We start from the raw sequence: 27,968 nt of genomic DNA on the forward strand, positions 1-27,968 counted from the left end.
GGACTTGCCAGCCCAGGAGTAGGTGTGGCCAAATCTCCGCAGATACTCGGGTGGGTGACTCCAGGAGGCGCCCCTGACAATCACAGCAACCTGGAAGTCACACCCCGCCCCCCGCGCTCCTCGGCCCAGGGTAGGACTTGGAAATGCCTGTCAGACTGGGAAGGACGCAGCTGCCTTGTCAGCCGTTTGATCTCCAACCGGCGAGGACAAGAGGAGTTGTGGGGCCTCTCCGTGGCCCGGGGACAAGGCCAGACCACGGCCCCCGTGGACACCCCCCATTCCCCAGGCTGTGGCCAACTTTGTCAATTTGATGACCTGGCCTCCAGGGCTGGGCGCGCCACGCGGCTGGCCTCCTCTCCCTTCTCAGGGTTTCTCTGGAGGCGGCCAGGGCGGGTCGGGGCCTGGCTCCGGCTAGGCTTCGCGGGCGAGTCCAGCTGCACCCACCCCACTCCGCCCCCAGGCCTGGCTCCGGCGGCTTCACCCGGGCGCATGGCGAGGCCGTGACGCCTCAGCGCCGCCTCCCTCGGGGCCTTTTCCTCGGGGGGCACACGGGGGTTTTTGTTTTCGTCCCGAAGGTCTTGGGTGGGGCGATGGCACCAACAATTTAACAGCGCCCAGAGTCCGTGAGCGAGAACAGAAAGAGATCCCTTCCAGTCCCATACCCTAAAAAATAATAACAATAAAATGTGCCCTGGCTTGCAGTTCTGTAAACTGTGGGCTCCACGGTGGGCGGACGCGAGGCCGAGCGGATGGAGACCGGGGGCGGGGCGCGGACTTGCACCTCCTCGCCCTGGCCGGGCAGGCTGCACCCGGCTGCCCACCCCCAACACCCCACCTCCACGTGGTCCAAAGTCTAGTAGGGCCTCCCTCTTCTGCCATCCCTCTCACCGGGAAAATCTTTCCAGGAAAGTGGCTTAAAAAAAATATGCCCACACGCACCTTTAATAAACTTCTTTAAGACATTCATAAACTGGCCATCCCTACTCGCCCGGACTCTAAATTTGAAAGATCAACTCGCGCTCTCTTTCTGAGAACTAGCGATGTGAAGCCCAGAGAGGGTGAGCACTTTGCCCTAGGACACACAGCGCGTCAGGGACAGGTCTGGACCCAAAACACCGCGGCGTGCCTGCAGCCCAGCGCCGCCGGCGGTCCGGGACTCGAAATCCCGACCCACGACCCTCACCTTCCTGGGGTTGATTACAAGGAAGGCAGACCCCGCCAGTGGCAAGGCGGGACGGGGAGGACCCCTCAGGAAAAGGGAGCCCCTCCGCGAGCGGCGCAAGGGCTCTCGGAGTCCCAGCTGCAGCCGCCACCCCGCGTGCGGTAAGGGGCCGTGCCTGGGGAGGGGGCACCCCCTCCCCACTCCCAGCAGGAAGTAGCTGGCGTGGGCCGGCGCGTGCCCCACGGACCCGAGGAGCACTTCCTCATTGGCCCCGCGCTGCCCCGACGGCGGGAAGAGGGACGCGCGGGCGGGCGGACGCAGGGCCGGACACGCCGCCGCCCGCCGGCGCGCTCCACCTCGCGGCAGCCGGGGAGAGGCTGCTCTGCCCCTGCCCAGCCTTGAGCCGGCCCCTTCGCCCTCCTCCTCCCCCTTTTCCTCCGCATCTTCCTCCCCCTCCTCCTCCTTCTCCCCCTCCTTCCCCTCCTCCTCCTCCTCCTCTTCTCCCGAGAGGCGGCCGGGCGCAGGCAGGGAGCGATCCCAGCTGCCACTCCAGTCTCCTCTTTTTCCCTCTGCCCGTCTGGCACGGGCCTCATCAGCGCGCAAAGCTGTTAATGTCTGGTCTCACAGCTCCCCCTTTAGTCTTGCTGCGCTCCATGTCTCACGTTCCAAGCCGGATCAATAGCCGCCTCTCGGCCGACCTTGACCTCTCCCTCGACCCTGCCAGGCTTCCGCAGCTGGCCCCGTACTAATGTTTCCCCACTCTCTAGATGCCCAGACAGCAGGCGGGGCGGGAGGGGGGTGGTCGACCTCGGCCCACAGCCATGTACCCACCCCTGCCTCAGCACCCCAGGCAGGCGAGAGGGGGCTTCAGGACTCTCCTGAGAAGGTCACTGCACCGCCCCACCGCACCCCACCCCACCTCTTCTTCACCAAACCTTTGTTTAAAATACAAGTCACTCCTGCCCCCTCCCCACCCCCAAAAAAGAGGGTGCAGGTGGCTCACATATGAAAATGTAAAAGGAAAAAGTGTGGGTCCAAATGTGGTCCTGAACTAATATCTTAAAACCAGGTTCATTTCTCTAGCACCTGCTGCAGACCTACTGTGTGCTGGGCCCAAAGCTGGGGCTTTGTGCATGCTGGAATCACATGGAAATAAATGCCACCTTTTCTGCACTATCTTTACACACACACACACACACACACACACACACACACAGAGCAGATGTCAAAAAGCTTTTTGAACTCACAAATATTTCCCTGCTATTCTTTTTCTAGCTTCACAGTGCATTCCAGCAGATAATCCTCCATATTCTCAGTCACTTTAAATTTCTTTATAGAGGAATAGTTCAGAAATCAGAAATCATTTCATCAAATCAGAGTGCATTTTTATTAACCTTATGTGGGGCTTTAATTCCCTGTGTGTGCTGCGTGTAACACACCATGCAGTGGGGGCAGATTAAACAGACACGTGACCCCCAAGCCAGGCTTTTTGTTTAAAATTCTTTGAACGATTCTCAATACTTAACTCAGCTGAGGTTGGACTCTATTCGAGATCCTACAATGTTATCTTTGCCTTCTGAGCTGTTATATTTTATCTCTTATGTCTTTACAAAAATTTGGAAAGAATCAAGATAAGACGTGTCAGTAGAAATGGGAAGTCCTAATGTTTCTGCAGAAAGAAAACTGACATTTCATTTGTTTTTGTTGTTTTCTTTTTAACACAGATCCACCCTCTGAAACGCAGTCAACTTTGTAGCAATTCAACAGCACATCTTACCAAATTACTTTGGGCTTCATTTTTGGTGCTTTAAAACAAAGAAGAAGAAGAAGAAGAAGAAGAAAACCATGCAAAGAGAGGGCAAATCGTTTCATATTCACAGGTATAGGGCAGACTCAGAAGCAACCCCTGTCTGTTCATTTCTATTCCTCCGGATCTATAAGTGTTATTGACTGAGAAGATGAACATGAATACGATGTTCCGATCTGATCAGTGGATGGACTTATTCTAACTTGTGAGGAAACCACAGTGGAGGCACCAAGCAAATCATATTTATGTACATATTAATAAGGCTCCCAAGGTGGTCCTTATCTCTTTCCTTACAGTTCTAGAATCTTTAGCAGCTATCAAATCCAGAGGCATAAAAAGACAAAAGAGGCCTTTTGGGCTTCCTGCTGTATCTTCTAGAATTATTTTATGTCATTTCTGAAAATTACAGCAAATTTCTGGGAGCCATAAGCACTCAATTAAAGCTTTGCTGGATTTAGAGGAGTTTTTCACGTTGTCACCTGATAGCAGAGTCAGGACCACAAAACTTGCCTTTCAACAGTTGTTTGGTTGATTCTTTTGGTGTACTGAATTTAACAACATTGCTTTTGTTAAAACATGACATCATTGGCACCTTATTTTTTTCTGCAAGTAATACCTGGCCTTGATACAGTAGTACATTTCTGACCATTGCTTAACTGTATAAGGCATAGGTAAGCTGTAGGAAAACTGAGGCATCATTGCCGGCTGCCTTTGTATCTGCAGCCTGCAAGGGGTTAAATAAAATTCACTGTTCCTGATTCATGTATTATTTTCCTTAAAAAATACTTACCCAGCTCCCCGTATATGAAAAGGACTCACACCCACATTGAATGTTCCTAGCTCTGTCCCTGTCATCAGAAATGATATTGAATGGCTCAGTACTAGGGGATCTGGAACTATTTCTACAGCTTTCTCACCTCATTTGGAATTTTCTTGTCTTGCTAATTTTAATTCTTTAGTTGAGTCATCAATTCAAATTTGGTAGGGACTGGCATCACCCAGTTGGTCGACTTGGGAGAAATATCGTTCATGAAGATGATCAGACTGCACCAAATTCCACCCCCACCCCTCACATATACAGAGATCCGAGCGGCTGTGGTGTGAGTGCACGTGTGTGTTTGTGTGTGTGTGTGTGTGTGTGTGTGTGTGTTATGCAAAAGGGTCTCTCTGCTGCTTTCTCTTTTGTCACTGAGTCTCCAAATTGTGTAACTGAAACTGCAAGGAAGACCGTTTTCCTGAAGATGCTGAGAGCTCTGTTTTGAAGACACACACATATCCGTGAGTTTGAATTCAGTGGTCTATTGACCATCCATCTGCCCTTTGTAGAGAACAGACAAGGAAAATAAAGAGAGTTAAAGTGGTTCAAATGAGGGACTCAGAAAGGAATTTTCAGTTCCGACTCTGGCTGTCAGCTGCTGTCATTGAGACCGAGCAACAATGAGGTGTCTGGTGATAGGAAATGGGGAGGACTAGGGATGGAGGCAGTAATGATCACCTTCCTAACAAGGGTTTTATGAGGCTGTGAGGATTAATTAGTTTGTATCCTTAAGCAGTTTGAGAAAGATGAAGTTTCAGTAAATGCTAAGCTGGAGTTGTAGACATCTGACTCAGTAGAGAGGTCTCCCCCACCCCCAATCCCAGGCTTTGAAAACTCCTATCTGTGCTGTGATGCACTACAAAGGAAGTGAGGGGGAAGCAAGCACTCACTTATGGAAGAACAGAGAAGGAGAGAGAGACATGAGTCAGGCTAGCATCCCTCCAACAGGCTCGGCTAATGAGGATGCTGCAATGGGGGCGCTTACCAAAAAATAAAAATAAAAACCAGCCAACACCTTGTTTCAGATATGCCTTCCAGAGCTAGGAAAGAGAGCTCTGGGGGAGCTCATCTGTTGTTTTGTAGTTTTAGAAACAGCCACGGATGCTTTCGAGTGAATTCAACAAAGGTAGTTTGTATCCTGGAAAACACGTAAGTGGTTTCTCTCTATTTAATAGAGAAGGGTTAAGGTTGCAAGCTGACAAACGAGGCTCTACACCACAAAGTTTTAACTGCAGGCACATTATTGAAAATGAAATCATATTTCTATAGTATGTGGAAGTTATGAAAGTTGTTCCATTATGTACATATTAAAACATTGCCTCTGCTTGAAGATGCACTTTCAGCTTAATTTACAAGGCAGACAATTTGCTACAACAAAAGATAATTAATGCTGCCCAGGGAAAACCGAGACACTGGATTGCTGTGCATTCTGGTATTAGTTTAATCTGGATCCTTTTATAAAAATGATTTCACTGTGATTTCAAGCCTTTGGAATCACTGAAACAAGAATAGCTTCTATAATATGGATGTGGCAATAACATTTCCCATTTGAACTTGTGACAAAGCCCCTCTGCCTGCCTCTCTCTCTCTCTCTCTTTCTCCCCCGCTTCTACCCACCCCGCCGGCCCCATCACACACACACACACACACACGTATCATGAAATTAACACTAGACAGGAGCAAAAAAGATCATCTCTGACCACTCTGATGATCTGGATTCTAAATAAGGCAGATTTATGGTCAATTATTTTAAATCTGTATTTGGACCTCTGGATTCAAATGGGTAGATTCATCAGCTGTTGGGATTCAGCACAGGCATCTGCAGTTTCATTATTTGTATCTGCTTAACAGGAACAATTAGAGACTGAAGAGTGAGGACGCCTGTTTGGGGACCGGTTTGGTATTGTACCCAGACCACACATTCCGGCTGGGAAGGAACACAGTAATGTATAAAGCATTAGTGGATTTAACGCTCTGCATTGTGCTTGGGGAATCGAATTGTTGATGTTTCTGGCAAGAACTCATACTCCAATTGAAATCTATCAAACACCTTAATTAGCTCCGGGTACCTAAATGCACCCAACCAAGAGGCAAGTTGGAAAGCAGCAGAAGGAAAGGGCAGGAGCTGGCACAGAGGTGTCATGGGCCTCCCTGGGTACCTTCAGCACCCTGTGGCCTCACTTTCCAGACCGGAATACATGGGCCATGGTGGAAAGTCAGACAACTTGCAGCTCTCACTGCAGCAGCCACAGGGATGTGATTGAAGGTGTTTGGATGGTTTGACCAGTGTTGGCTAAGGGGATGAGAAGAGGCCGCAGTGACACAAAGCTGTTGCCGATAATAACTGGAGCCTTTTTCTGAGCCAACCGTTCCACCTGGACCTCAGTACAAATTATTGTTTTCAATTACCACCTGTGTATTCCTTCCCATGCAACTTATTGATGTAAAATTACAGCTACACCGGTATAAATAAGTTATGCTGCAGTTGTAAAATGGAAGAAATTTTGTTGTAGCAATTATGTTCAGCAAGATGACAAAATAAATTTCCAGAGCTGTGCCTGCAGTAACCTGGGGAATTTAAACCTCATAATTTCCATTCATTTCAGATAATTTGGAGTAATTTCTATATGTAATAACTTTGTAATGAAAAACACAGCGGTACTGAAGTGATTTCGCTCCGTTTTTTTCTCCTATGGTATACATGGCACAAAATAAATGATAAAAATAATATTTCCTTTTTATATGTGTGTGTGTTGAGTAATTCCTTCAGTAAAAATCATAAACTAATACCCAGACTAAATCTCTGTCCACAAAATGAAAAATAAATTGAGTTAAAGAAAGTGAAAAAGTATGAAGGGCTTTGGATGCTTTATTGTGACTTTATTGAATTGTTTTGTTCCCATGCTCCCTCTGATCCCTAAGGGTTACAGTTCCCAAGTAAGGGGCAAATGCAGGGGAGCCCCAGATGGCTCAGAGGAGGTAGCAGGGGGACCCCCAAAGGCCAGGAAACCCTCGCCAGATGGTGATTTCTCCCCAGAAGCATAAGAGACTCGTTCTCCTCTTGAGATGAGCATCTTTAACGGTTGATTTCACTGCGACTGGAAAGGACCTGGTAGGCTGGTCAGTGGTCCTGTCAGTTCTGACATATTTCCTCCTTTAATTAAAGACAAGGCAAGGTGGAGCACCAGTGCCCTGCCCGACCTATGACGGTGACACCTGCCACTGATGTATGCAGCCCCTGAATGCCACGATTTATTCATCGGAAGCTCCCACTGAGCTGTGAGAAGGTGACAGGAATTACAGCAGCTGCATTAGCTCCCAGATCCACGCGATTAGCCTCTGCCACTGCCACGGTGCACATCAAGGGTTTCCTCAAAGTGAAAAATCGAGGCGTCATTCCCTAAAACCTGCCTGCTAGTAGTCACAGCTAGTGACTGTCAGTAGCCTCCCCACCAGCCATGAGGGCTGCCTGCTGCCTTGAAGTAGAATGGCTCCCCTGCCCTGCAAACCCTGGCCTGCTACATGCTGCCAGGGTGCCCATCTGGAAGCTCAGGCTTTGGCTGAGTCGGCTGGGGAAAGGGCATTCATTTCTCAGGCTCTGTGGTCTCCCTGTCAGATGGGCTTCACCGCTCTGTATAAGCGGTGATGAGTGGGTCTTAGCAAAGCGCCTGGCCCGGTCTCTCGCCATGCAGCAGTCGCATCATAAGCATGGCTGTGATTTGTTCCTTCAACAACACACGCGGATGGGACGCCTGCTGTATGCCAAGCACACCATGGGGGACAGGGCCCAAAGATGGCAATATTGTGAGGTGGTGGTACTGAGGTTCCAAGTTCAGGCAAGCCTGAATCTGACACACCACCCCAGCTCCAAAGAACAGAGCAAGGGAAAACAAAAGTTGATGACATAGTTCAGCAATTATAGTAGTGAGAGTACAGCCCATCACATGGACTCATGGCCATGTGTCCCAAGTGCCATGGGAGCAAAGCAGCAGGGCTCAGGGGTCCTGAGCACAGATTGCAGAATTCTTCCAAGACCCTCAAGACCTACTCATTCAAAGAGACACTCTGTCTAATTACATTGTGAGGCATTTATCTTATCTAATCCTCAGAAGAGAAAGACTTTCATCCCCCTTAGACAGGAAACCCGAAGTCAGCCACCACGAGGTAGAGCCCAAATCACCCCAGGTCTGTCTCTGTGTATAACCACTATGCCGTCCTATACCCAGGTTGGATTTCCAGCCATCCTGCAAGCCAATAACAGGCAGCTGAAAACATCACCAGATGTGGAACCAGAACAGCAAAGACAAAGTCAGTGCTGGATCGAGACATGGAGGAAGGAAGAGAATTACAGAGAAACAAAGTTTGCATTAAGGACACAGTATACTCAGTTAGTAGAAGAGATTTTGTTTGTTTGTTTGTTTGTTTGAGACAGCAAAATCCAACAAGACACACCACGGTTATGAAACCAGATAATTGAGGCAGAGAGAAATGGGGTGGAGAGAGTGGGGTAAGACAGACGTTTCTGCTGGTAAAATTTGAAACAGACAAACAACTCATGTTGGGACAGAGTTTTAGTGTACAAAGCCCTTTTGCTTCCCTGACTTGAGTTTGTCCTCCCAGCAGCCTGTGAGAAAAGCAGGACAGGGCACACACAGCTTGATATACGCCTCCGAGATCGCCAGGGTCAAGTCTCCGCTGCGCCCGCTGCTAGCTGCAAAAGCCTTCATGCGGTTTCTCTTCTCGACATCCCAGGTCCTCCTCTATCAACGCCTCTGTGAGCATCTCATCAGATGACCTCTCAGAAAGCCCCCAGCACAGGCCTGGCACAGAGGAGGCATTGAATAAATGATAGATATTATTATGGAGGCGTTTTACTCATGAAACAAGAGATTCACATTCAACTCAGTCTAAGGTACACACGTCAATATTTCAGGAATGAAATGGGAAATTTCCCCCAGATTTCACTGGTACATAATCGACTAATATTGATGAAGCATCTTGTCTCAGCGCTGCTGTAACAAAATACCTGAGACCGCGTAATGTATACAGAATAGATATTGCCGGGCGCAGTGGCTCATGCCTGTAATCCCAGCACTTTGGGAGGCCAAGGCGGGCAGATCACCTGAGGTCAGGAGTTCAAGACCAGCCTGGCCAACATGGTGAAACCCCATCTCTACAAAAATACAAAAATTAGCCAGGCATGATGGTAGGTGCCTGTAATCCCAGCTACTCAGGATGCTGAAACAGGAGAATCGCTTGAGCTTGGGAGGCGGAGGTTACAGTGAGCCGAGATCACGCCATTTTACTCCAGCCTGGGTGACAGAGTGAGACTCCATCTCAAAAAAAAAAAAAAAAAAAAAAAAAGAATAGACGTTGATTTCTCACATTTCTGGAGGTTGGCAAGTCCAAGATGAAGGCGTCAGAAGGTTCAGTGTCTGGTGAGGGCCCCAGCCTTTGCTGCCAAGATGGTGCCTTGTTGCCACATCCTCCAGGGTGGACAAACACGACAGCTTCACATGGCAGAGGAGCAAACAGGCCTAAGCTAGTTCCCTCCAGCCCTTTCTCTCCTAATCCACTCATGGGGCAGAGCCTCCATGACTCAGTCATCTCCCCAGAGGCCCTACCTCTGAATACCACCACAATGGGGACTGAGTTTCAGCGTGAATTTTGGAGGGGACACATTCAAATCATAGCACACCTACTTTGTGCCAAGGACCAGGCTAACCTTTGCCAATACCCAGAGGAAAACATTATAGTTGTTATCTGCTAGTAGCAGGTCACTGGGCTCTGAGCTTCTCAAAGCAGACAGTCCAGATCCTACCTTGTCTCCTGTGCCTGTGACGGGCACATAGGAGGGTATCAGTGACTGAGCCAGCTGGACCTCACTACAAGACCTAATACACAGGCAAACTAGAAAATCCAAGGCCAGCCGGGCGCGGTGGCTCTCACCTGTAATCCCAGCACTTTGGGAGGCCAAAACGGGTGGGTCACCTGAGGTCAGAGGCCAGAAGTTCGCGACCAGCCTGGCCAACATGGTGAAACGCTGTCTCTACTAAAAATACAAAAATTAGCTGGGCGTGGCAGCAGGCACCTGTAATCCCAGCTACTCAGGAGGCTGAGGCGGAGAATCGCTTGAACCCAGGAAGCGGAGTTTGCAGCGAGCCGAGATCTGGCCACTGAACTCCAGCCTGGGGGACAAGAGCAAAACTCCATCTCGGAAAAAAAAAAAAAAAGAAAGAAAGAAAAAGAAAAACCATGGCCATGGGACAAAAACTGCAAAGAAAGCTCTCAGGGTTCAGAGATGAGCATATGGGAGTTTGAGGGTGGGGAATCATTGTTCATTTTCTTCTCTCGGTCTCCACATTTTCTATAATCTGCATTTATGGTTTTTATTATCAGCCGCCAAAAATTAAAAATTAAAGGTTGTAGCGGCTGAACCTTTTGACTAATTATTCAGGAGGAAAATAATAGACTACATATGAGAAAAAGACCGGAAGGAGATTCAGAAATAACAGCAGCTATTGTGTGAGAATTATGAGATTAGGGGGGATTTTAAAAGAACTTTGTCTCCCACCGGGCGCGGTGGCTCATACCTGTAATCTCAGCACTTTGGGAGCCCGAGACAGGCGAATCACAAGGTCATGAGTTCAAGATCAGCCTGGCCAACATAGTGAAACCCCATCTCTACTAAAAATAAAAAAAATTAGCTTGCTGTAGTGGCGGGCTAATCCCAGCTACTCTGGAGGCTGAGGCAGGAGAATCGCTTGAACCCGAGAGGCGGAGGTTGCAGTGAGCCAAGATCACGCCACTGTACTCCAGCCCAGGTGACAGAGTGAGGCTCTGTCTCAAAAAGAAAAAAAGGAACTTTGTTTCCCAAACCCCCTAGAATGTCACTAAAGACTTGCTGTACATTTTTTTTTCTTTTTTGAAATGGCGTCTGGCTTTATCACCCAGGCTGGAGTACAGTGGCACAATATCTCGGCTCACTGCAACCTCTGCCTCCCAGGTTCAAGCAATTCTGCCTCAGCGTCCCAAGTAGCTGGAGCTACAGGTGCCCGCCACCATGACTGGCTAATTTTTGTATTTTTGTATTTTTAGTAGAGACAGGGTTTCCCCATATAGGCAAAGCTGCTCTCGAACTCCTGGCCTCAAGTGATCCGCCTGCCTCTGCCTCCCAAAGTGCTGAGATTACAGGCGTGAGCCACCGCGCCCAGCCTCGTACATTGTAATAAATAGTTTTGTAAAACTATTCTTTGTGAAAGAATCAAGGAGATGGTTGCCATGCTATGGTGTGAGACCATCCTGGGTGCAGGGAGGTCTGTGGGACGTGGTTGGATGAGACCTTCTTTAAGAAGCTGCCATGCTTTTTCCTTCCTTTCCTTCTGTCTGCAGCCCTCCATTACCTGGGACTGCACGCTAAGGCAAAGCTCTCTCACAGCTGCCAAACAGGCTGATTTTAAAGCCACCTCTGCTCGCCCTGCTGGGGCTGGCTAACCGGCTAACCAGCTACACAGAACCTGCTGGAACCTGGCCTTCCGTGGGGTGGGCGCAGGAAGCAGCTTGGTTAGGCTCTCTGCTGGGTGCTTGCGAAGCATGGAGCACTTTCCGACACTCACAGTGAGGAATGTCCTCTGGAAGCCTCCCCGCTCCCCACCTTCTGTCATGGGGAGATAATTCATTTATGCAGCGTTCACAGAAGACTGACATTTTCGACTTTTTTAGCAGAATAAATTTATAAGGTAAATTAGGGGGTGGGAGCCTTAGTGTCCTAGGCAGATTCAAACTGGTAATTACAGAGGACCTAATTATGTATTCACCACGGAGCCTTCTGGAACAGCGAAGGCTACAGGATGGCTCTTATTCTTCCTGCAGAGGACCATCTCCCCTGGAAGCTTCACAACCAACCTTTGAGAGCTGCGCTTCCAGCCCCGGGCCATGGCGGCAAAGCGCCCTTGTCATCGGCACCCACGTCCTGATATCTGCAGAGAACATCCTGTCCCTGGGCAGGGAGCCCCAGTGTCCCCCAATAGTTATGAGGTCAAATATTCTTCAGACCAGGAGTCCTGACTTGGATAAAGTAAAAGTCAAAATTACAAGGCAGGGTTTGGTTTTTGTTTTTCTTTTTCATTTTTGTTTTTCATTTTTTGTTTTGAGACAGAGTCTCGCTCTGTCACCCAGGCTGGAGTGCAGTGGCACAGTCTTGGCTCACTGCAGTCTCCACCTCCTGGGTTCAAGCGATTCTCCTGCCTCAGCCGCCCAAGTAGCTGGGATAACAGGTGCCCACCACCACACCTAGCTAAGGACAGGGTTTTTTTTTTAATCTGGTTCTGTTCGTTTTCCCCCAATCCCCCAGAGTTCTAGATGACATCGGCAGGCTGTGGTATCAGAAGGATCATTTCCACGGCCTTCTCTCCTGCTTGTCTGGGAGCTGCCTTCTCTCCTGCTTGTCTGGGAGCCACCTTCTCTCCTGCTTGTCTGGGAGCTCCTTGGGGGCAGGAACCGTGTCCTTTGCTTCTCCATCTCGTCAGAGCTCAGTTTGGGATCTGGCCTCAGTACAGTTGTTGAATGAAGGGGAGAATCAATAGTCAACAAAAATGCACAATGACCCTAGGAAGAGAAAAACCCTGGGTTTCGGCAAAGTGGTAAACTAAGAGACTCCCTTTCTCACCCAACACAGCGCCACGCAGTGTTTGAATACTTAGACACATTTTACATGCAAAGCCCTCCTTTCTGTGGCCTGTTCGCCCTCGTTTTCCAATGCCCTCCCTGCTCCCAAAGCACCTCATGGTTCACTTGGTAACTACATTGTTACCAAGCATTGTGCTCTGTTGTGGGTCAAATCATGCCCCCTACCCCCCCATAATATGTTGGAGTCCTAAGCCCTGTACCTGTGAATGTGCCTTAGGGTCTTTGCAAATGTAATTAGTTAAGATGAGGTCATCCTGGGTTAGGGTGGACCTTCCATGCAATGACTGGTGTCCTCCTAAAAACACAGCCATGTGAACACAGAGACACACAGGGAGGACGTCTGGTGACAACGGAGGCAGACACTGGACCCAGACAGCTGCCAGAAACACCAAAGAATGCTGGCAACCACCAGAAGCTAGGAAGAGGCAAGGAAGGATCTTCCCCTGGAGGGGGAACGTGGCCCAGAGACACCGTGATTTCAGACTTCTAGCCTCCCTAGTTGTCAATCAGCACCTCTTGTTTTAAGCCACCCAGCTAGCAATACTTTGTTATGCCAACCCCCAGAAATGAATGTGTGTGCCTGCCCTGTGCTGGATAATGAGCCGGGGCCAGGCCAGCAGAGCCAAGGTACCTGGACACAGACCCTGCCCTCGGGGGCTCAGGGGTCACAGGTCTTTTCTACGAAGTCGTAAAACACTGTGGAAAGTATCCCCAAGGCCGGGGCGCAGTGCCTCACACCCGTAATCCCAGCACTGTAGGTGACTGAGGCAGGAGGACCTTATGAGGCCAGGAGTTCAAGGCCAGCCTAAGCAACATTGTGAGACCTCATCTCTACAAAAATTTGAAAAGAAAATTGGCCAAGCATAGTGGCACAGGCCTGTAGTCTCAGCGATTTGGGAGGCTGAGGCAGGAGGATTACTTGAGTCCAGGAGTTCTAGGCTGCAGTGAGCTATAATTGTACTATTGCACTCCAGCCTGGGTGACAGACTCTGCCTTTAAAATTACATAAATAAAGATTTCCCTGCATTTCATATTTGCAAAGAGAATGTTGACAAGAACTGGTGGCCCTCCTTGTCAACCTCAGAAAAGAGCAATAATGCCTGGACTGTGAGTATCTTGAGGCCAAAACCATGGCAGGTTTGCCCTGAACTCCCACTCAGATGTCCCCTGCCACCCTCTTGTCCTAGCTTGGGACTTTGCACATAGTTTAAGCTCCAGTTATAAAGTCAGGGTTTAGGGGAAAATAATGCTTCAGTGGAGGAAATATTTAAGGGCTGAATATTTGTAGTGGCCTCAAATCACACCCTCCAAGTAACCACACACAAAGTTGACCCTAAAATAAGACTGCACCCCGGTGAAACTCTTCAGCCACTGAAGTGTTAGCTCGGTGTGTAGCTGGGTTTCATTTTCATTTTTGTGTTTAACAAATAAAGAATTAAAAACAAGAGAAACTATTAACTAACTACTAGTAGTAAATTACTGCACAGGAAAATGGAATTACATAAAAGACACATTTTTCTGGTGCTTACTGAAAACCCTCCTGGACATAATAGAGTGAAGAAGCCCCATTTTCCCTCCTCCCCCCAGCGCCCCACAAAATGAAATTATCTAGGCACATAGCTCTACCCCTGCTCCTGCACATGGAAGATGAGGAAGAAACCACTTTACCTTTCTGCCCCATGAGCCTCTTAAGAAAGCTCAGGCCTGGGGCAGGACGGGTTCCTGCTTGGCTCTGCTGCCTTCACTCCTGTGTGTGTGGCTGTGGGGGAGGTAAATTAAGAATTCACACTTCTGCAAAGTGCTGGGTTCACGCCCAACCACAGGCTTCTGCAACTTTGACCAAAGGCATGTATGGTGGGGTAGATGCGCCCTCACTCTTCATGGAACGGTCTCCCCCAGTTGACTGAGCCTTCAGCGGGAGTGAAGTCACAGGGCAGGGCTCACAGAGAGCTGACTCAGACCCAGGCTGTGCCTCTCTTATGCACCAGGCAGCAGCTGGACATTTGACATCCACTCTTCCTACACACCACACCGCCCCCCGGGTTACACATCCATCTCATTTTATAGGAGGGAAGCCAAGCTATGCGATTAGCTCAAGACTGCACAGGCAGTAGCAGCAGACGCAGGGTTCAAAGTCGGTTTTTCCAATGACACGCGTCCTGTTGTGTCTACCTCCTCATGTTAGGGTAACCCAGGCTGTGCTGCTACACAACTTAATCTCTTTATCTAAGAGGACTTCATGTCTAAAACACCAAAAGCAAGGGCAACAAAAGCCAAAATTGACAAATGGGATCTATTTAAACTAAAGAGCGTCTGCACAGCAAAAGAAACTACCATCTGAGTGAACAGGCAACCTACAGAATGGGAGAAAATTTTTGCAATCTACTCATCTGACAAAGGGCTAATATCCAGAATCTACAAATAACTCAAACAAATTTACGAGAAAAAAACAACTCCATCAAAAAGTGGACGAAGGATATGAACAGACGCTTCTCAAAAGAAGACATTTATGCAGCCAACAGACACATGAAGAAATGCTCATCATCATTGGCCATCAGAGAAATGCAAATCAAAACCACAATGAGATACCACCTCACACCAGTTAGAATGGCAATCATTAAAAAGTCGGGAAACAACAGGTGCTGGAGAGGATGTGAAGAAATAGGAACAGTTTTACACTGTTGGTGGGACTGTAAACTAGTTCAACCATTGTGGAAGACAGTGTGGCGATTCCTCAGGGATCTAGAACTAGAAATACCATTTGACCCAGCCATCCCATTACTGAGTATATACCCAAAGGATTATAAATCATGCTGCTATAAAGACACATGCACACGTATGTTTATTGTGGAACTATTCACAATAGCAAAGACTTGGAACCAACCCAAATGTCCATCAATGATAGACTGGATTAAGAAAATGTGGCACATATACACCATGGAATATTATGCAGCCATGAGAAAGGATGAGTTCAGGTCCTTGGTAGGGACATGGATGAAGCTGGAAACGATCATTCTCAGCAAACTATCGCAAGGACAAAAAACCAAACACCACATGTTCTCACTCATAGGTGGGAATTGAACAATGAGAACACTTGGGCACAGGAAGGGGAACATCACACACCGGGACCTGTCATGGGGTGGGGGGAGGGGGGAGGGATAGCATTAGGAGATATACCTAATGTAAATGACAAGTTAGTGGGTGCAGCACACCAACATGGCACATGTATACATATGTAACAAACCTGCACATTGTGCACATGTACCCAAGAACTTAAAGTATAATAATAATAAAAATAAATTCGAAAAAACAAGAAGTTTACACAAGAAAGGTTCACATGTCCTCTTTTGCCATAGGCTGTTGGTGGTCCTTCTATCCCTCTAGCCACCCCTCATGGCCTCCAGGACCTCCATGGCAGGGGAAGAGGGAGACGGAGGAGTCCCACTGGCTCTTAACTGCCTCAACCCAGAAGTGACACTCATCACCTCTATTCACAGCCCATTGGCCAGAGCCAGTCACATGACCCAACCCGACCTCCAGAGAAGCTGGGAAATGCAGAACAGCCCCCGAGTGTGGTTGGCAGTGCCCATTGGCACCATGTCCAGGAAGAGGGTGTGCACAGTTACTCCTTGTTGACTGAAGGGGCCTTCACTAGAAATTTCTTCACCAGTCAATTTGGGAATCAGGACCATGGGTCAACGGAAGTGCCCACACACCTGGATTTGTTACATAACATACGCAGGATCTTATTCTGAGCTGACTGAGGTTTTTCCCTCCGTCCTCTGAAGTTCACTGCTGGCACCATTCCTTTATCCATCACTCACTGTGCTTGCTCCCATCACACTGAAGAAGCATGGGGCTTTCAAGGTAATACAGAGGCAAGAATCTAGGAGACTTTATTCCTGGTTGTGCAATGTGCCCTCAGGAGCAAACCAACCCGCAGCATTTGGAAGTGAGCAGCTAGCTCCTTGGAAACAGAGGCTCACAGTGGGGGCCCCTCCAGTCCAGAAATGTGTCCACTTGACATGCCAATCAAAGGAGATGTTGGAACTTTGGAAGGTGTGAGGTAGGTGTGTGGGATAAGGTAAAAACACCCAGGCTTCACTTCAAAGCCCTCAAAATAGGGTTTGATGGATGGATTTAGAACATAGACTTTTTAAGCTGGAAGGAACCAAGAGATAATGCAGTCCACCTACCTTAGGAGGGAGTCTGAGGCCAGGGAGAGGCGGGGGAGGCACAGGACCGGGGTAGTGCCTGAGCCATGGGGTGGGCCCCGATGCCCTGACTCCCAGGCCCAGGAGGCAGAAGGGCTTCAATGGGGCCTTCCCGTCTACGTCCAGCCTCCTTTATTCTGAAGCAAAGCCAGGGTTCCCGAGCTCACTCCGAAGCCCAGGGACCAGGTGTAAGCCACATAGCTCCCTTGAAGCAGGTCCCGAGGATGGGCGAAGGGGGTTCCCCTCTGAGCTGTGTCTGTGGAGTCAGCCAGGAGATCTTCTCCTCCTCTGGCCTCTGCAAGATCAAACCTCCCTGGTAGTGTCGAGTCAAAAAACATTTCCTGAGCCCCTGCTATGTGCTAAGGCCGCTGGATAGGGATCAGAAAGAATTCAAATCGAGCTCAGCTGCTTCCTGGCAGTGTGAACTCAGGCAAGGCCCTTCAACCCCCCAGGGCCTCAGTTTCCTCCTCTGTGAGATGGAATCCTAGCGGGACCTCCCTCACAACGCAGTTCCAAGGAGGAACTGAGAAAGCTCAGGTGAAAGTACTAAGCTCAGCATCTGGGCGTGGAAGGCGCTTCACCTGTGTGAATGCAATCCCCATAGATAGCCAGTACCAAGTAGAACGCAGCGAGTTCTATGGAGACAAAGATGAGGGGTGTTGTGCAAATACACCAAGGAAGGCTTCCTGGGGGAGGAGGCCTCTTCACCTCCCTTTCAAGGCTCGGCCAGACATCACTTCCTCCAGGAAGGCTTCCCTCTGCAGGCTCCAACCAGGCACTGGGCCTCATCCATCACAGCACATCAGTCCCTGGGCTGTAACCCTGCAGGCCCCAAGCTGCTACTGAACTCAGTGGGTGCAGGAATGGTGTCTTCTTTACCTCTGGGACCCCACAGTGCCCCAGGACTTGGCATGTAAACAGCTCTCATTTTACCAGCTGTAATCAAGACACGCTGTAATTCCTCCATAGCTCCCCCAGGTACCAGCCTATTTCTCCAAGAAGAGCACATTTGTGACAGGGCTGTCTATGCTAACTCTGTTGGGTCTCTGTCTTCCCAGTCCCTGTGGAAGCCACCCCATCCGCCTTGGCTCTCAGGAGCCACCCAAGGGCCCTTGCCAAAGTCACCACTGGCCTCTCTGTTGCTAAGTGCAATGTCACCACGCAGTCCTCATCACCCCAGGCCCGTCGGTTGCCTGTGCCATGGCAGGGCGTTCCTCCTCTTTGCTGGGCTTTGAGGTGGCCACGTGCCCCTGGTTTTTTCCCCCATCTCACCGGCCAGAAATCTCTTTTCTGGTTCTCCCTCATCTCTCAACCTCTGGGCATAGTTCTGCCCCAGAGCTCATCCCTCAGACCTCTTCTCAACTTACACTCACTCCCTTGGCAATACCAACGTCTCATGTGGCTTCAAATGCCATCTACATGCCAATGTGTCCCCAGCCCCGAACAATGCTTCCATGTATCCAGCTACCTGATGGACTTCCTCACTAACAGTGGACTAACTCACTAACAGTGAGTGCCTAACAGGCCTCTCACTGTTAACCTCTCCAAGACTGACTTCAGAGCTCCACTCCCCAAATCTGCTCTGCCCACAGTATTCTCTAATTCAGAATATGGTCACTGCTCAGGCTAAAACCCTGAGAGTCAGCCCTGACCTTTCTCTTTCTCCCACACCCAACATCCAACCCCTCATCACACTGTATGGCTTCTGCCTTTAAAGTCTTTCCAGAACATGGCCAGGTCTCACTAACCCTACTGCCACCTCCCCAGGCCAAGAGCCTCCTGTCTGGTCTTTTTGCTTCTTCCTTGAGGCTACTCTCAACAGTCAGTCTGATATTTTGAAGCATAGCCAGATCACAACACTGCTCTGACGAAAACTTTCTGTTACTCAGAGTAAAAACCAAAGACCCTATGATGGCCCAGAGGGTCCTAGGTCCCAGCCTCCTTTGCCTCTCTGACCTTAACCCCACCACTCTCTCCCTCCGGAACACCACTCCGCTGGCCTGTGGATTATTCTGCAACTCACAGGCAGGTACATGCGTCAGGATCTTTGCATCTTCTATTTCCTCTCCCTGCAATATGCTCCCCAGGTCATGGCCTGCTTCCTCTCCTCCTTCAGGTCTCTGTTCACATATTGCCTTCTCAAGGAGGCCTTCCTGGACCAGTTGATTTATCACTGAAACACTGACAACTTGGATAAAATGAACCAATTCCTTGAAAAATACCAATTATCAAAACTGACATAAGGCACAGTAGCTCACAGCTATAATCCCAGCACTTTAAGAGGCTGAGTTGGGAGGATCCCTTGAAGCCAGGAGTTCAAGACCAGCCTGGGCAACATATCAAGACCCCATCTCTACAAAATTAGCCAAGCGTGGTGGTGTGGACCTGTAGTCTCAGCTACTTGGGAGGCTGAGGCTGGAGGATCACTTGAGCCCAGGAGGCTCGACCGCACCACTGCACTCCAACCCAGGTGACAGAGTGAGACGCTCAAAATACACAAACAAACAAAAAACTACCATCAGAAGAAACAGAAAATTTTCAGAGTCACGTCTGTTTAAGATTGAATCTGTAATTTAAAACCTTCTTCCCCTCCTTCCTCTTTCTCTGCTCTCCCCAGCCCCCACCAAAAAAAAAAAAAATAGGTCCAGATGACTTCATTGGTAAATTTTCCAAATATTTAAGGAAGAAATACCAGTTTTACACCAACTCTTCCAGAAAACAGAGGAAGAAAAAACACCTCCCAACTCATTTTATGAGGATACAGAACCCCAAAACTGAAACCTGACATGGACGTTACAAGAGGCAGGTGGATCACTTGAGGCCAGGAGTTCGAGAACAGCCTGGCCAATATGGTGAAACCCCATCTCTATGAAAATTAGCCAGGCATGGTGGTGGGTGCCTGTAATCCCAGCTACTTGGGAGGCTGAGGTGGGAGAATTGCTTGAACCCAGGAGGTGGAAGCTGCAGTGAGCCGAAATCGTCCCACTGCCCTCCAGCCTGGGTGACAGAGCAAGATTCCGTCTCAAAAAAAAAAAAAGAAAAAGAAAAGAAAATTGCAGACCTTAATCTCTCGTAAGCATAGATGCAGCAATCTTAAACAAAATATTAGGAAGTTGAATACTGCAATGCACTGAAAGGATAATACATCATGACCAGGTATTGGGGGTTAAGGATTCAACATATGAATTTGAGTGGGACATAATTCAGGCCATAGCAGTCACATAAAAGGCTTGGGTGAGAAGGGGGTGAAATGTTCAAAATGATGGGGTCATAACACAGAACACTCTCTGATTATATTTTATATAATCCTGACCATGTTAATGTGTCACGTGCTCAAAGAAAAGAAAATGAAATCAACCAGGAGAGAGGAGAGGACCTGAATTAGAATACCAACAGACTACAGAGCTAAATTTCAAATAAATAGCATAACTGCTGCGGGGGAGAACTGAGTCACTTTTGAACATGGTACTTGGATTATATGCCCTCAGACACTAGACAAAAAGACCCCAAACAAATCTTGAACTGTCTTTAGTAGGCTTCCTTTTTGCAAAGGAATGGGTTAGCAATTCGGATACTCTGTACATTCTATCACTGAACAAATATGTGACTATGTTGTTGATCATGGAAGCCAGTCTTTTCACTATTGAGAAGGGAGTTACAAATATGCAAAAGGAGAAAGATAAGAGGTACCATGAGGTGTTGTTTGGAATTGGAGATATTGGTGTGAACTTATAGGTTTCGATATATAGATAGATAGATAGATAACAGATATATAGCTGATAGATAAATAGGTGATAAATATATGCTGATAGACCGATGATAGATACATAGATATATAGATAGATGATAGATTGATAGATACATACATACATACATAGGTAAATGATTGATAGATACACACATACAGATATGTGTGGATATGTGATGTATGTGTGTGTGTAAAATTTCCCAGTTCTGTCTGCTAAGAGGGCCTCGTAGCAATGAGCATATGTATAGACAAGATCTTGGTTTATAAATGTCATTTTCCACACAAAGGAACTGATGACTGATTCCAGGGCTGGAGCAAGGAATGTACAAGATGAGCTTAGAACATCTTGTAGCAAAATGTAAGGAAGTGCTCCAAAAAAAAAAAAAAGATAGAGGTATGTCAAAAAGGCACAAGAGCCAAACTAAAGAGGCTTCCACTGGCCAAATCTGGGACACTTTGAGTGTCAAAATAAACAATGGCAGTAAATGATTATAACCTATAGTATAAAGTAAGAATCTATGAATCATACTGATATAAATAGATGAATAAATAGGAAGAAAAATTATTTATTATAGTAGAAAGCCAACTAATAAAAATAGAACAAATGATAAAATTAGAAAATCACCATTTGGCAACCATAATAATAATTATAATAATTGATTCAAGCAAGAGTCATTAATAGATGCTAAAACTAGGAGATAAGACTTTGAGTAACAACAAGATATTTACATAGTCTCAAAGTATAGCCTCACATCATACTTTTCAATTACAAAGGATAAAATAGTGTCTACACTAGAGAGGCCTGACAGATGCCGTCTTAACCAAGTGATTGAAGTTATGTCACCAGCCATGGGACTAATGGGCCACACGTGCTTCCTGATAGGATGCACTGAGAACACAGCATCACCGCATGGTGCTCCGGCCAAAGGGCCTTAACTGAATCTACCTATGAGAAACCATCAGGAAACCCATCCTTGGATTCCAGGCCAGGCACGGTGCTCACACCTGTAATCCCAGCACTTAGGGAGGCCAAGGCTGGTGGATCACTTGAGGTCAGGAGGTCAAGATCAGCCTGGCCAACATAGTGAAACCCTGTCTCTACTGAAAATATGAAAATTACCCGACTCTGGTAGCACACACCTGTAATCCCAACTACGCATGAGGCTGAGGCACGAGAATCACTTGAACCCAGGAGGTAGAGGTTGCAGTGAGCTGAGACTGTGCCACTCCAGCCTGGGCAACAGAGTAAGACTCCATCTCAAAAAAAAAAAAAAAGAAAAGACACCCATTCTACAAAATAACTGGACCATGCTCTTCAAAAGTGTCTGTGTCGTAAAATATGAAACTAAAGAGGCATGACAAATGAGAGCAACAGATGACCTTGGGCTTTCTTGCAGTATAAAGGATATTATTGGGACAGCTGGTGAAACCTAAATAAGGAATAGTTTAGGCTACAGTTTTGTACCAATGTTAATTTCCTGATTTTGATCATTGCACTGTGGTTATGCAAGATAAATCCTTGCTTTTAGGAAATACACACGCTGAAATAGAGGCATCTTACTCTTAGATAGTTCAGGAGAGGGGGGGGGGAGAGAGAGAGAGAGAGAGAGAGAGAGAGAGAGAGAGAGAGAGAGAGAGAAAGCGTATGCAGTAAAGTATTCGCATTTGGGGAGTGATATGGTTTGGTTCTATGTCCCCACCCAAATCTTACCTTGAATTGTAGTAATCGCCACATGTTATGGGAGGGACCCGGTGGGAGGTAATTGAATCATGGGGTCAGGTTCTTCCTGTGCTGTTCCCGTGATAGTGAATAAGTCTCACAAGATCTGATGTTTTTCAGGGTTTTTTTGGTTTTTGTTTTTGTTTTGAGACAGAGTCTCGCTCTGTCGCCCAGGCTGGAGTGCGGTGGCGCCATCTCAGCTCACTGCAAGCTCCGTCTCCCAGGTTCACGCCGTTCTCCTACCTCAGCCTCCCAAGTAGCTGGGACTACAGGCTCCCGCCACCACGCCCAGCTAATTTTTTGTATTTTTAGTAGAGACAGGGTTTCATCATGTTAGCCAAGATGGTCTCGATCTCCTAACCTCGTGATCCGCCTGTCTCAGCCTCCCAAAGCGCTGGGATTACAGGCGTGAGCCACTGCGCCAGGTCGATCTGATGGTTTTTATAAAAAGGAGTTCCACTACACATGCCCTCTTGCCTGCCGCCGTGTAAGCCTTTTGCCTTCCACCACGATTGTGAGGCCTCCCCAGCCATGTGGAACTATGAATCAATTAAACCTCTTTCCTTTATATATTACCCAGTTTCAGGTATGAGACTGGGAGTGTGGATAAAGGACAATCAAGAATTATTTGGGCTATTCTTGCAACTTTTCAGTAAGTCTGAAATTATACCTAAAAAGGAATCAAGCAATAGAGTAAAATTGAAATCCCACTCCTGCCACTTCCTACCTCCTGCTTGTGTTTTGATTTTCTCTGTAGCAGTTATTGCCATATCAACATCATGCATTTTATTTTAAGGTTTTTTGGTTTGTTTTTTGTTTGTTTGTTTGTTTGTTTTTTGAGATGGAATCTCACTCTTTCGCCAAGGCTGGAGTGCAGTGGCAAGATCTCAGCTCACTGCAACCTCCGCCTCCCGGGTTCATGCAATTCTCCTGCCTTAGCCTCTCCAGTAGCTGGGATTACAGGCGCCCGCCACAATGCCCAGCTAACTTTTGTAGCCTGTCGTCACCCACCAGAATATAAACTCCAAAAAGGCAGAAAGTTGTATCTACATTGTTCATTGCTGTACCCAGCCACTAGAACAATAATTGCCACAGAATTTTAACAATATTTGTTAAATAAATGATTTGCACAGAGTTGTGCCTGAAGTATATCTGTTGAATGAATGAGTGAATTCATGGGGAAACAATCTCAAGTTGAACCTGAAAGATGGGGTCCTCTCTTGCCAAAGACATCTCTTAGATGAGGCGCAGTTCTGATGGCCTCAAGATGAATATTTGAAGGTCAGCCTTAACGGAAGTACCACAAGAGAGCATCCTCACAGCCTAACCCCGGAACTTATTTTGTTGTGCTGTGAACCCAACCTGGTTTTCATGAGTCTATTCCCACCCCCAACAGGAGTGGCGCTGTTGTTGGCATGGCCCCAAGAGAAATATGCCTGAGATGCAGTTCTCCTTAGCCCTCAGGGCCGAGAGGAGACGATTCTTCAGCAGCCAGTAGGACCCACTCGAAGCGCGTCACAATGCCAGGGTTATGAGTCAAAGCTCCCCAAGTATTATCGCTGCATATACTCAGTACTTCTTTTGCTAGGCAAGACTGGAGGGCAAAGGAAGATCCAAAAATGCCTGGTTTTTAACACAAGTTTAGGAATAACTTGGGAAGAGGCAAAGTGACTCCAGGGAACGAAGGCAGCAGAGAGAAATGCCTGATCCCTCCTCTTCCTCTCTCCACTCCCTCCCGGAAAACGTGGAACCATCTGTAATTCTTTGGCATCTAGGGTCAGTGTATCGTTATCATTCCTATCTCTTATTCTACAGCATGATTCTCTGACTCGTAGAATCAGGAAGCTCACCTGGGAAACAGATTCAGTTGATCTGGAGTGAAGCCCAGGAATCTGTATTTTTCACAAGATGAAAGATCAGATTTGAACCCAGGGATCTTGCTCAGAGTTCATGCCCTCAACCACTCAGCTCTGCTCTTCTAATTCTCTGGCAGGGCTACAAGCATACACAGGAAGAAGCTGCAAAGATGTCCACTGTAGCACTTTTCAATATCACAAAACCAAAAATGAACTTCATGCTTCCCAATGGAGGAGTGATTAATTAAATTCTAATGCAGTGGAACTTGTACTGTCAGCTATGACAGAGTAGCTTATAGAAGACCAAAATAGCTGTTAAGAACAACTGAAAAATCCAGAAAAAGTAAATTTTAAAAATCTTTTTTTGAAAGAATTGGGATCATAGGCTGGACCATATAGTGATTCTCAACAAATTTCAAAAGATTGAAATCATTCAGAGTTTGTTGTGAGATCATAGTGGTATTAAAGCCAGAAATCAATAACAAAAAGAAAATCAAAAACTAGTTTCCAAATGTTTGGAAATGAACTAAAACACTTCTAAATAACCAATTGGTCAAAGAATAAATCAAAATAGAAATTACAAAATACTTTGAATGAAAGGAAACCAAAATACAACATATTAAAATATAATCTAGAGCTAAAGCTGTGATTAGTGGAAAACACATAACCTTAAAAGCAGATGTTGGCTGGGCACGGTGGCTCACACCCATAATCCCAGCACTTTGGGAGGCCAAGATGGGCAGATCACTTGAGGTCAGGAGTTCAAGACCAGCCTGGCCAACATGTTGAAATCCCATCTCTACAAAAAATACAAAAATTAGCCGGGCGTGGTGGCACACGCTTGTAATCCCAGCTACTAGGGAGGCTGAGGCACTAGAATCGCTTGAACCCGGGAGGTGGGGGTTGCAGTGAGCCAAGATCACACCACTACACTCCAGCCTGGGTGACAGAGCAAGACTCTGTCTCAAAAAAAAAAAGGCAGATATTACAAAAGAAGAAAGACTGAAATGTAATGAAGACAGCAGAAATAAATGAAGAGAACAGAAAACAAACACAGAATAGAGAAAATTAGAAAAGGCAGAAATCACTCCTTGAGAAAAGATGATTAAATTGATAAATATCCAGAAAAACCAACCAAGATAAAAAGAGAGAAAAAAAATGCCAATATTAGAAATGAAATGTGGACATCACTACAGTCCCTACAGGCACATTATGAACAACTACTTTCCAAAACATTCAAACATTTTGACAATATATACAAAGTCCTAGAAAACACAACTTTTCAAAACCAATGCACGAAGACATACAAAATCTAACATACGAATATTTTTAAATTATTTTGTAATTTAAAATCTTCCCAAAAAGAAATGTCCAAAGCACAGTCAGTTTCCCTGGTGAATACACTCAAACATCTATGGAAGAAGTAATGCCAATGTTATACAACCTTCTAGAGAATAAAAAAAGAAATGCTTTCTTACTAATTTTATGATACCAGTACAACCTTGATGTCAAAATCCTGATAAACACGTTGCAAGAATGACAAATTACAGATCACTCTCTCTCAAACATAGGTGCTAAAATTCTAAGCAAAATATAAGCAAATTGAATCCAGTGATCTTTTTAAAAAGGATAATATATACATTTTGGCCACATTTGATTAATTTCAGGAATGAAAGCCTGATTTTTTTCATGTTTCAAAAAATCAATTTAACTCCCTACGTTCTCAGAAGATGCAGAAAAATCATATTATCGCCTCAACAGATACAGAAGAAACATTTGATATAATTCAACATCCTAGCTGGGCATAGTGGCTCACGCCTGTAATCCCAGCACTTTGGGAGGCATCAGGGAAGATCACCTGAGGTCAGGAGTTTGAGACCAGCCTGGCCAACATGGTGAAACCCCATCTCTACTAAAAATACAAAAAGTAGCCAGGTGTGGTGGCAGGTGCCTGTAATCCCAGCTACTCGGGAGGCTGAGGCAGGATAATCATTTAAACCTGGGAGGTGGTGATTGCAGTGAGCTGTGATCATGCCACTGCACTCCAGCCTGGGTGACAGAGCAAGACTCCGTCTCCAGAAAAAAAAAAAAAAAAAAAAAATCTCTAAGCAAATACTGAATAGAAATGAACTTCCACACTCCCATAAATAATATTTATTTTAGGCCAGGCACAGTGGCTCACACCTGTAATCCCAGCACTTTGGGAGGCTGAGGTAGGAAGATTGCTTGAGTCCAGGAGCTCAAGACTAGCCTGGCCAATATAGTGATATCCTGACTGTACAAAAAATTTTAAAAATTAGCTGAGTGAGGTGGTGCACAGTCCCTGCTACTTGGGAGGCTAAGGTGGGAGGATTGCTTGAGGCTGGGAGGTGGAGGTTGCAGCGAGCCATTAATACACCACTGCACTCCAGCCTGGGCAAAAAGAGTGAGACCCTGTCTGGAAAAAAAAAAAAAATTATGTTTTAAAAAACCTACAGTCATTACCACCTTATGCTTTCTCCTTGATTAAGAAAAGAAGACAAGGATTCCCAATACCATCATTTATATAAATATTGTTCTGAAGGTCCTAGACAGTGCAATAAAAATAAATAAAATGTATAAGAATGGGGAAAGAGTAAATGAAACTGCCATTTTCTCAAACAACATAATAGTATATGTAAAATTATCCAAAACAATCCACAAACTGTTAGAATTAATAAGTGAAGTTAGCAACACTAACTAGATTGCTAGACATTAGATCAGTATTAAAATTTCATTCTCATTTGTATATAACAGCGGCAAATATTTAGAAAAATTTTGAAAATGATACCATTTAGACTTCGGGCTTATGATAATGGAATAATTGGTCAGACAAATACTCTCAAACATAAAAACTGTAAAATCTGGACAAAATTTATGAAAATAAAAAGTATTTGAAGACACAATCAAAAGAAGGCAGAAACCAAAAAGAATTTATCACAAGGTGGCCATTGGAAAAGAATTTTGAATTTGTGTTTTTTTTTCCTTGAGGTGACTGAGAGTGATCTCCATCTTCACAAATCTTGTGGCTGAAAACCTCATTTTTACAGGCTTGAAGATGTAGAGGAGATAGTTCAGGGCTAGCAGAGTAGCTGGAAGTTTAGGGGGGCATTCCTGGAAGAACAAGAGCAATAAAAGGAACAAGACTCAAAAATCTGCATATAAACTCTGCTCATTTGCACATGCATAAAGGAGAACACAGGGAGTCCAGGGAAAAAGAAGCAGAAATCACTGAGAGAGATTTGTTAAGTTTGCTGCATTTTTTTTTTTTACTAAGGGCATTCCCCAGCATGAAGAGCTCAAGTAGCAGAAGATTGAATCCTTACTGACTTGAGGTATTAGAGGTCAGAGCTCAAGACTGGTGGACCAGCAGGAATTTCAGAGAGGAACCACAGGAGCAAGGAAGTCACAACAAGGGTAGATGTCAAGATGTGGATATAAACTCTATCCAAACTCTTGGCTGACCACCAAACTATGCTGTTGCAAGGAGACCCCAGCAAGTCAAGCCAAAAATACAGCAGCTGGAACCTGAAAAACCAGGACAGAAAAGATGATGTTTAAAGATTGAGTCTCAGCGAACTAACAACCTTCTGGAAGAAAAAATCAACAATCCTTAGAAGAACATAACAGAATCTAGAGTCACTACAATATACTGTACTCAGTATCTAGTTTGCAACAGCATCAAAATACCAGAAATGCAAATAAATAAGAAAATGTGACACACACTCAAGGGAAACAGCAGTCAACAGAAACTGACTCCAAATGGCACAGATGTTGGATTAGTAAACAAAGACTTCAAAGCAGCTATTAAAAATATTTCAGAAAAATAGGGCCAGGCATGATGGCTCACACCTGTAATCTCAGCACTTTGGGAGGCCAAGGTAGGAGGATCACTTGAGGCCAGAAGTTCAAGATCAGCCTGGGCAACATAGTGAGAC

General features: G+C 46.4%; 1 long non-coding RNA gene across 1 annotated transcript, besides 3 other annotated features; it reads right to left on the reverse strand.

Annotated features, from left to right (window-relative positions):
• Window positions 1,277-1,476: a silencer, noted in NCBI's record as "silent region_6061". NCBI's record gives its function as "represses an Ori minimal core promoter by ATAC-STARR-seq in GM12878 lymphoblastoid cells {active_cell/tissue: GM12878}" and the evidence as "EXISTENCE:reporter gene assay evidence [ECO:0000049][PMID:35858748]".
• Window positions 1,877-1,926: an enhancer, noted in NCBI's record as "active region_9002". NCBI's record gives its function as "activates an Ori minimal core promoter by ATAC-STARR-seq in GM12878 lymphoblastoid cells {active_cell/tissue: GM12878}" and the evidence as "EXISTENCE:reporter gene assay evidence [ECO:0000049][PMID:35858748]".
• Window positions 6,880-14,231, reverse strand: LOC105370660 (uncharacterized). The gene is made up of 3 exons (XR_001750881.2): window positions 14,143-14,231; window positions 11,692-12,393; window positions 6,880-8,606 (listed from the first exon to the last, which is right to left on the reverse strand). It is a non-coding gene; the product is annotated as an uncharacterized LOC105370660 (long non-coding RNA).
• Window positions 10,789-11,511: an enhancer, noted in NCBI's record as "H3K27ac-H3K4me1 hESC enhancer chr14:99750257-99750979 (GRCh37/hg19 assembly coordinates)". NCBI's record gives its function as "activates a minimal SCP1, AML or CMV promoter by ChIP-STARR-seq in primed H9 embryonic stem cells {active_cell/tissue: H9 hESC(primed)}" and the evidence as "EXISTENCE:reporter gene assay evidence [ECO:0000049][PMID:30033119]".
• Window positions 14,232-27,968: the final 13,737 nt, after the last annotated feature.

The sequence above is a fragment of the Homo sapiens genome, chromosome 14 (genome assembly GCF_000001405.40).
Source record: "Homo sapiens chromosome 14, GRCh38.p14 Primary Assembly".
In the NCBI taxonomy this organism is placed as follows: Eukaryota; Metazoa; Chordata; class Mammalia; order Primates; family Hominidae; genus Homo; species Homo sapiens.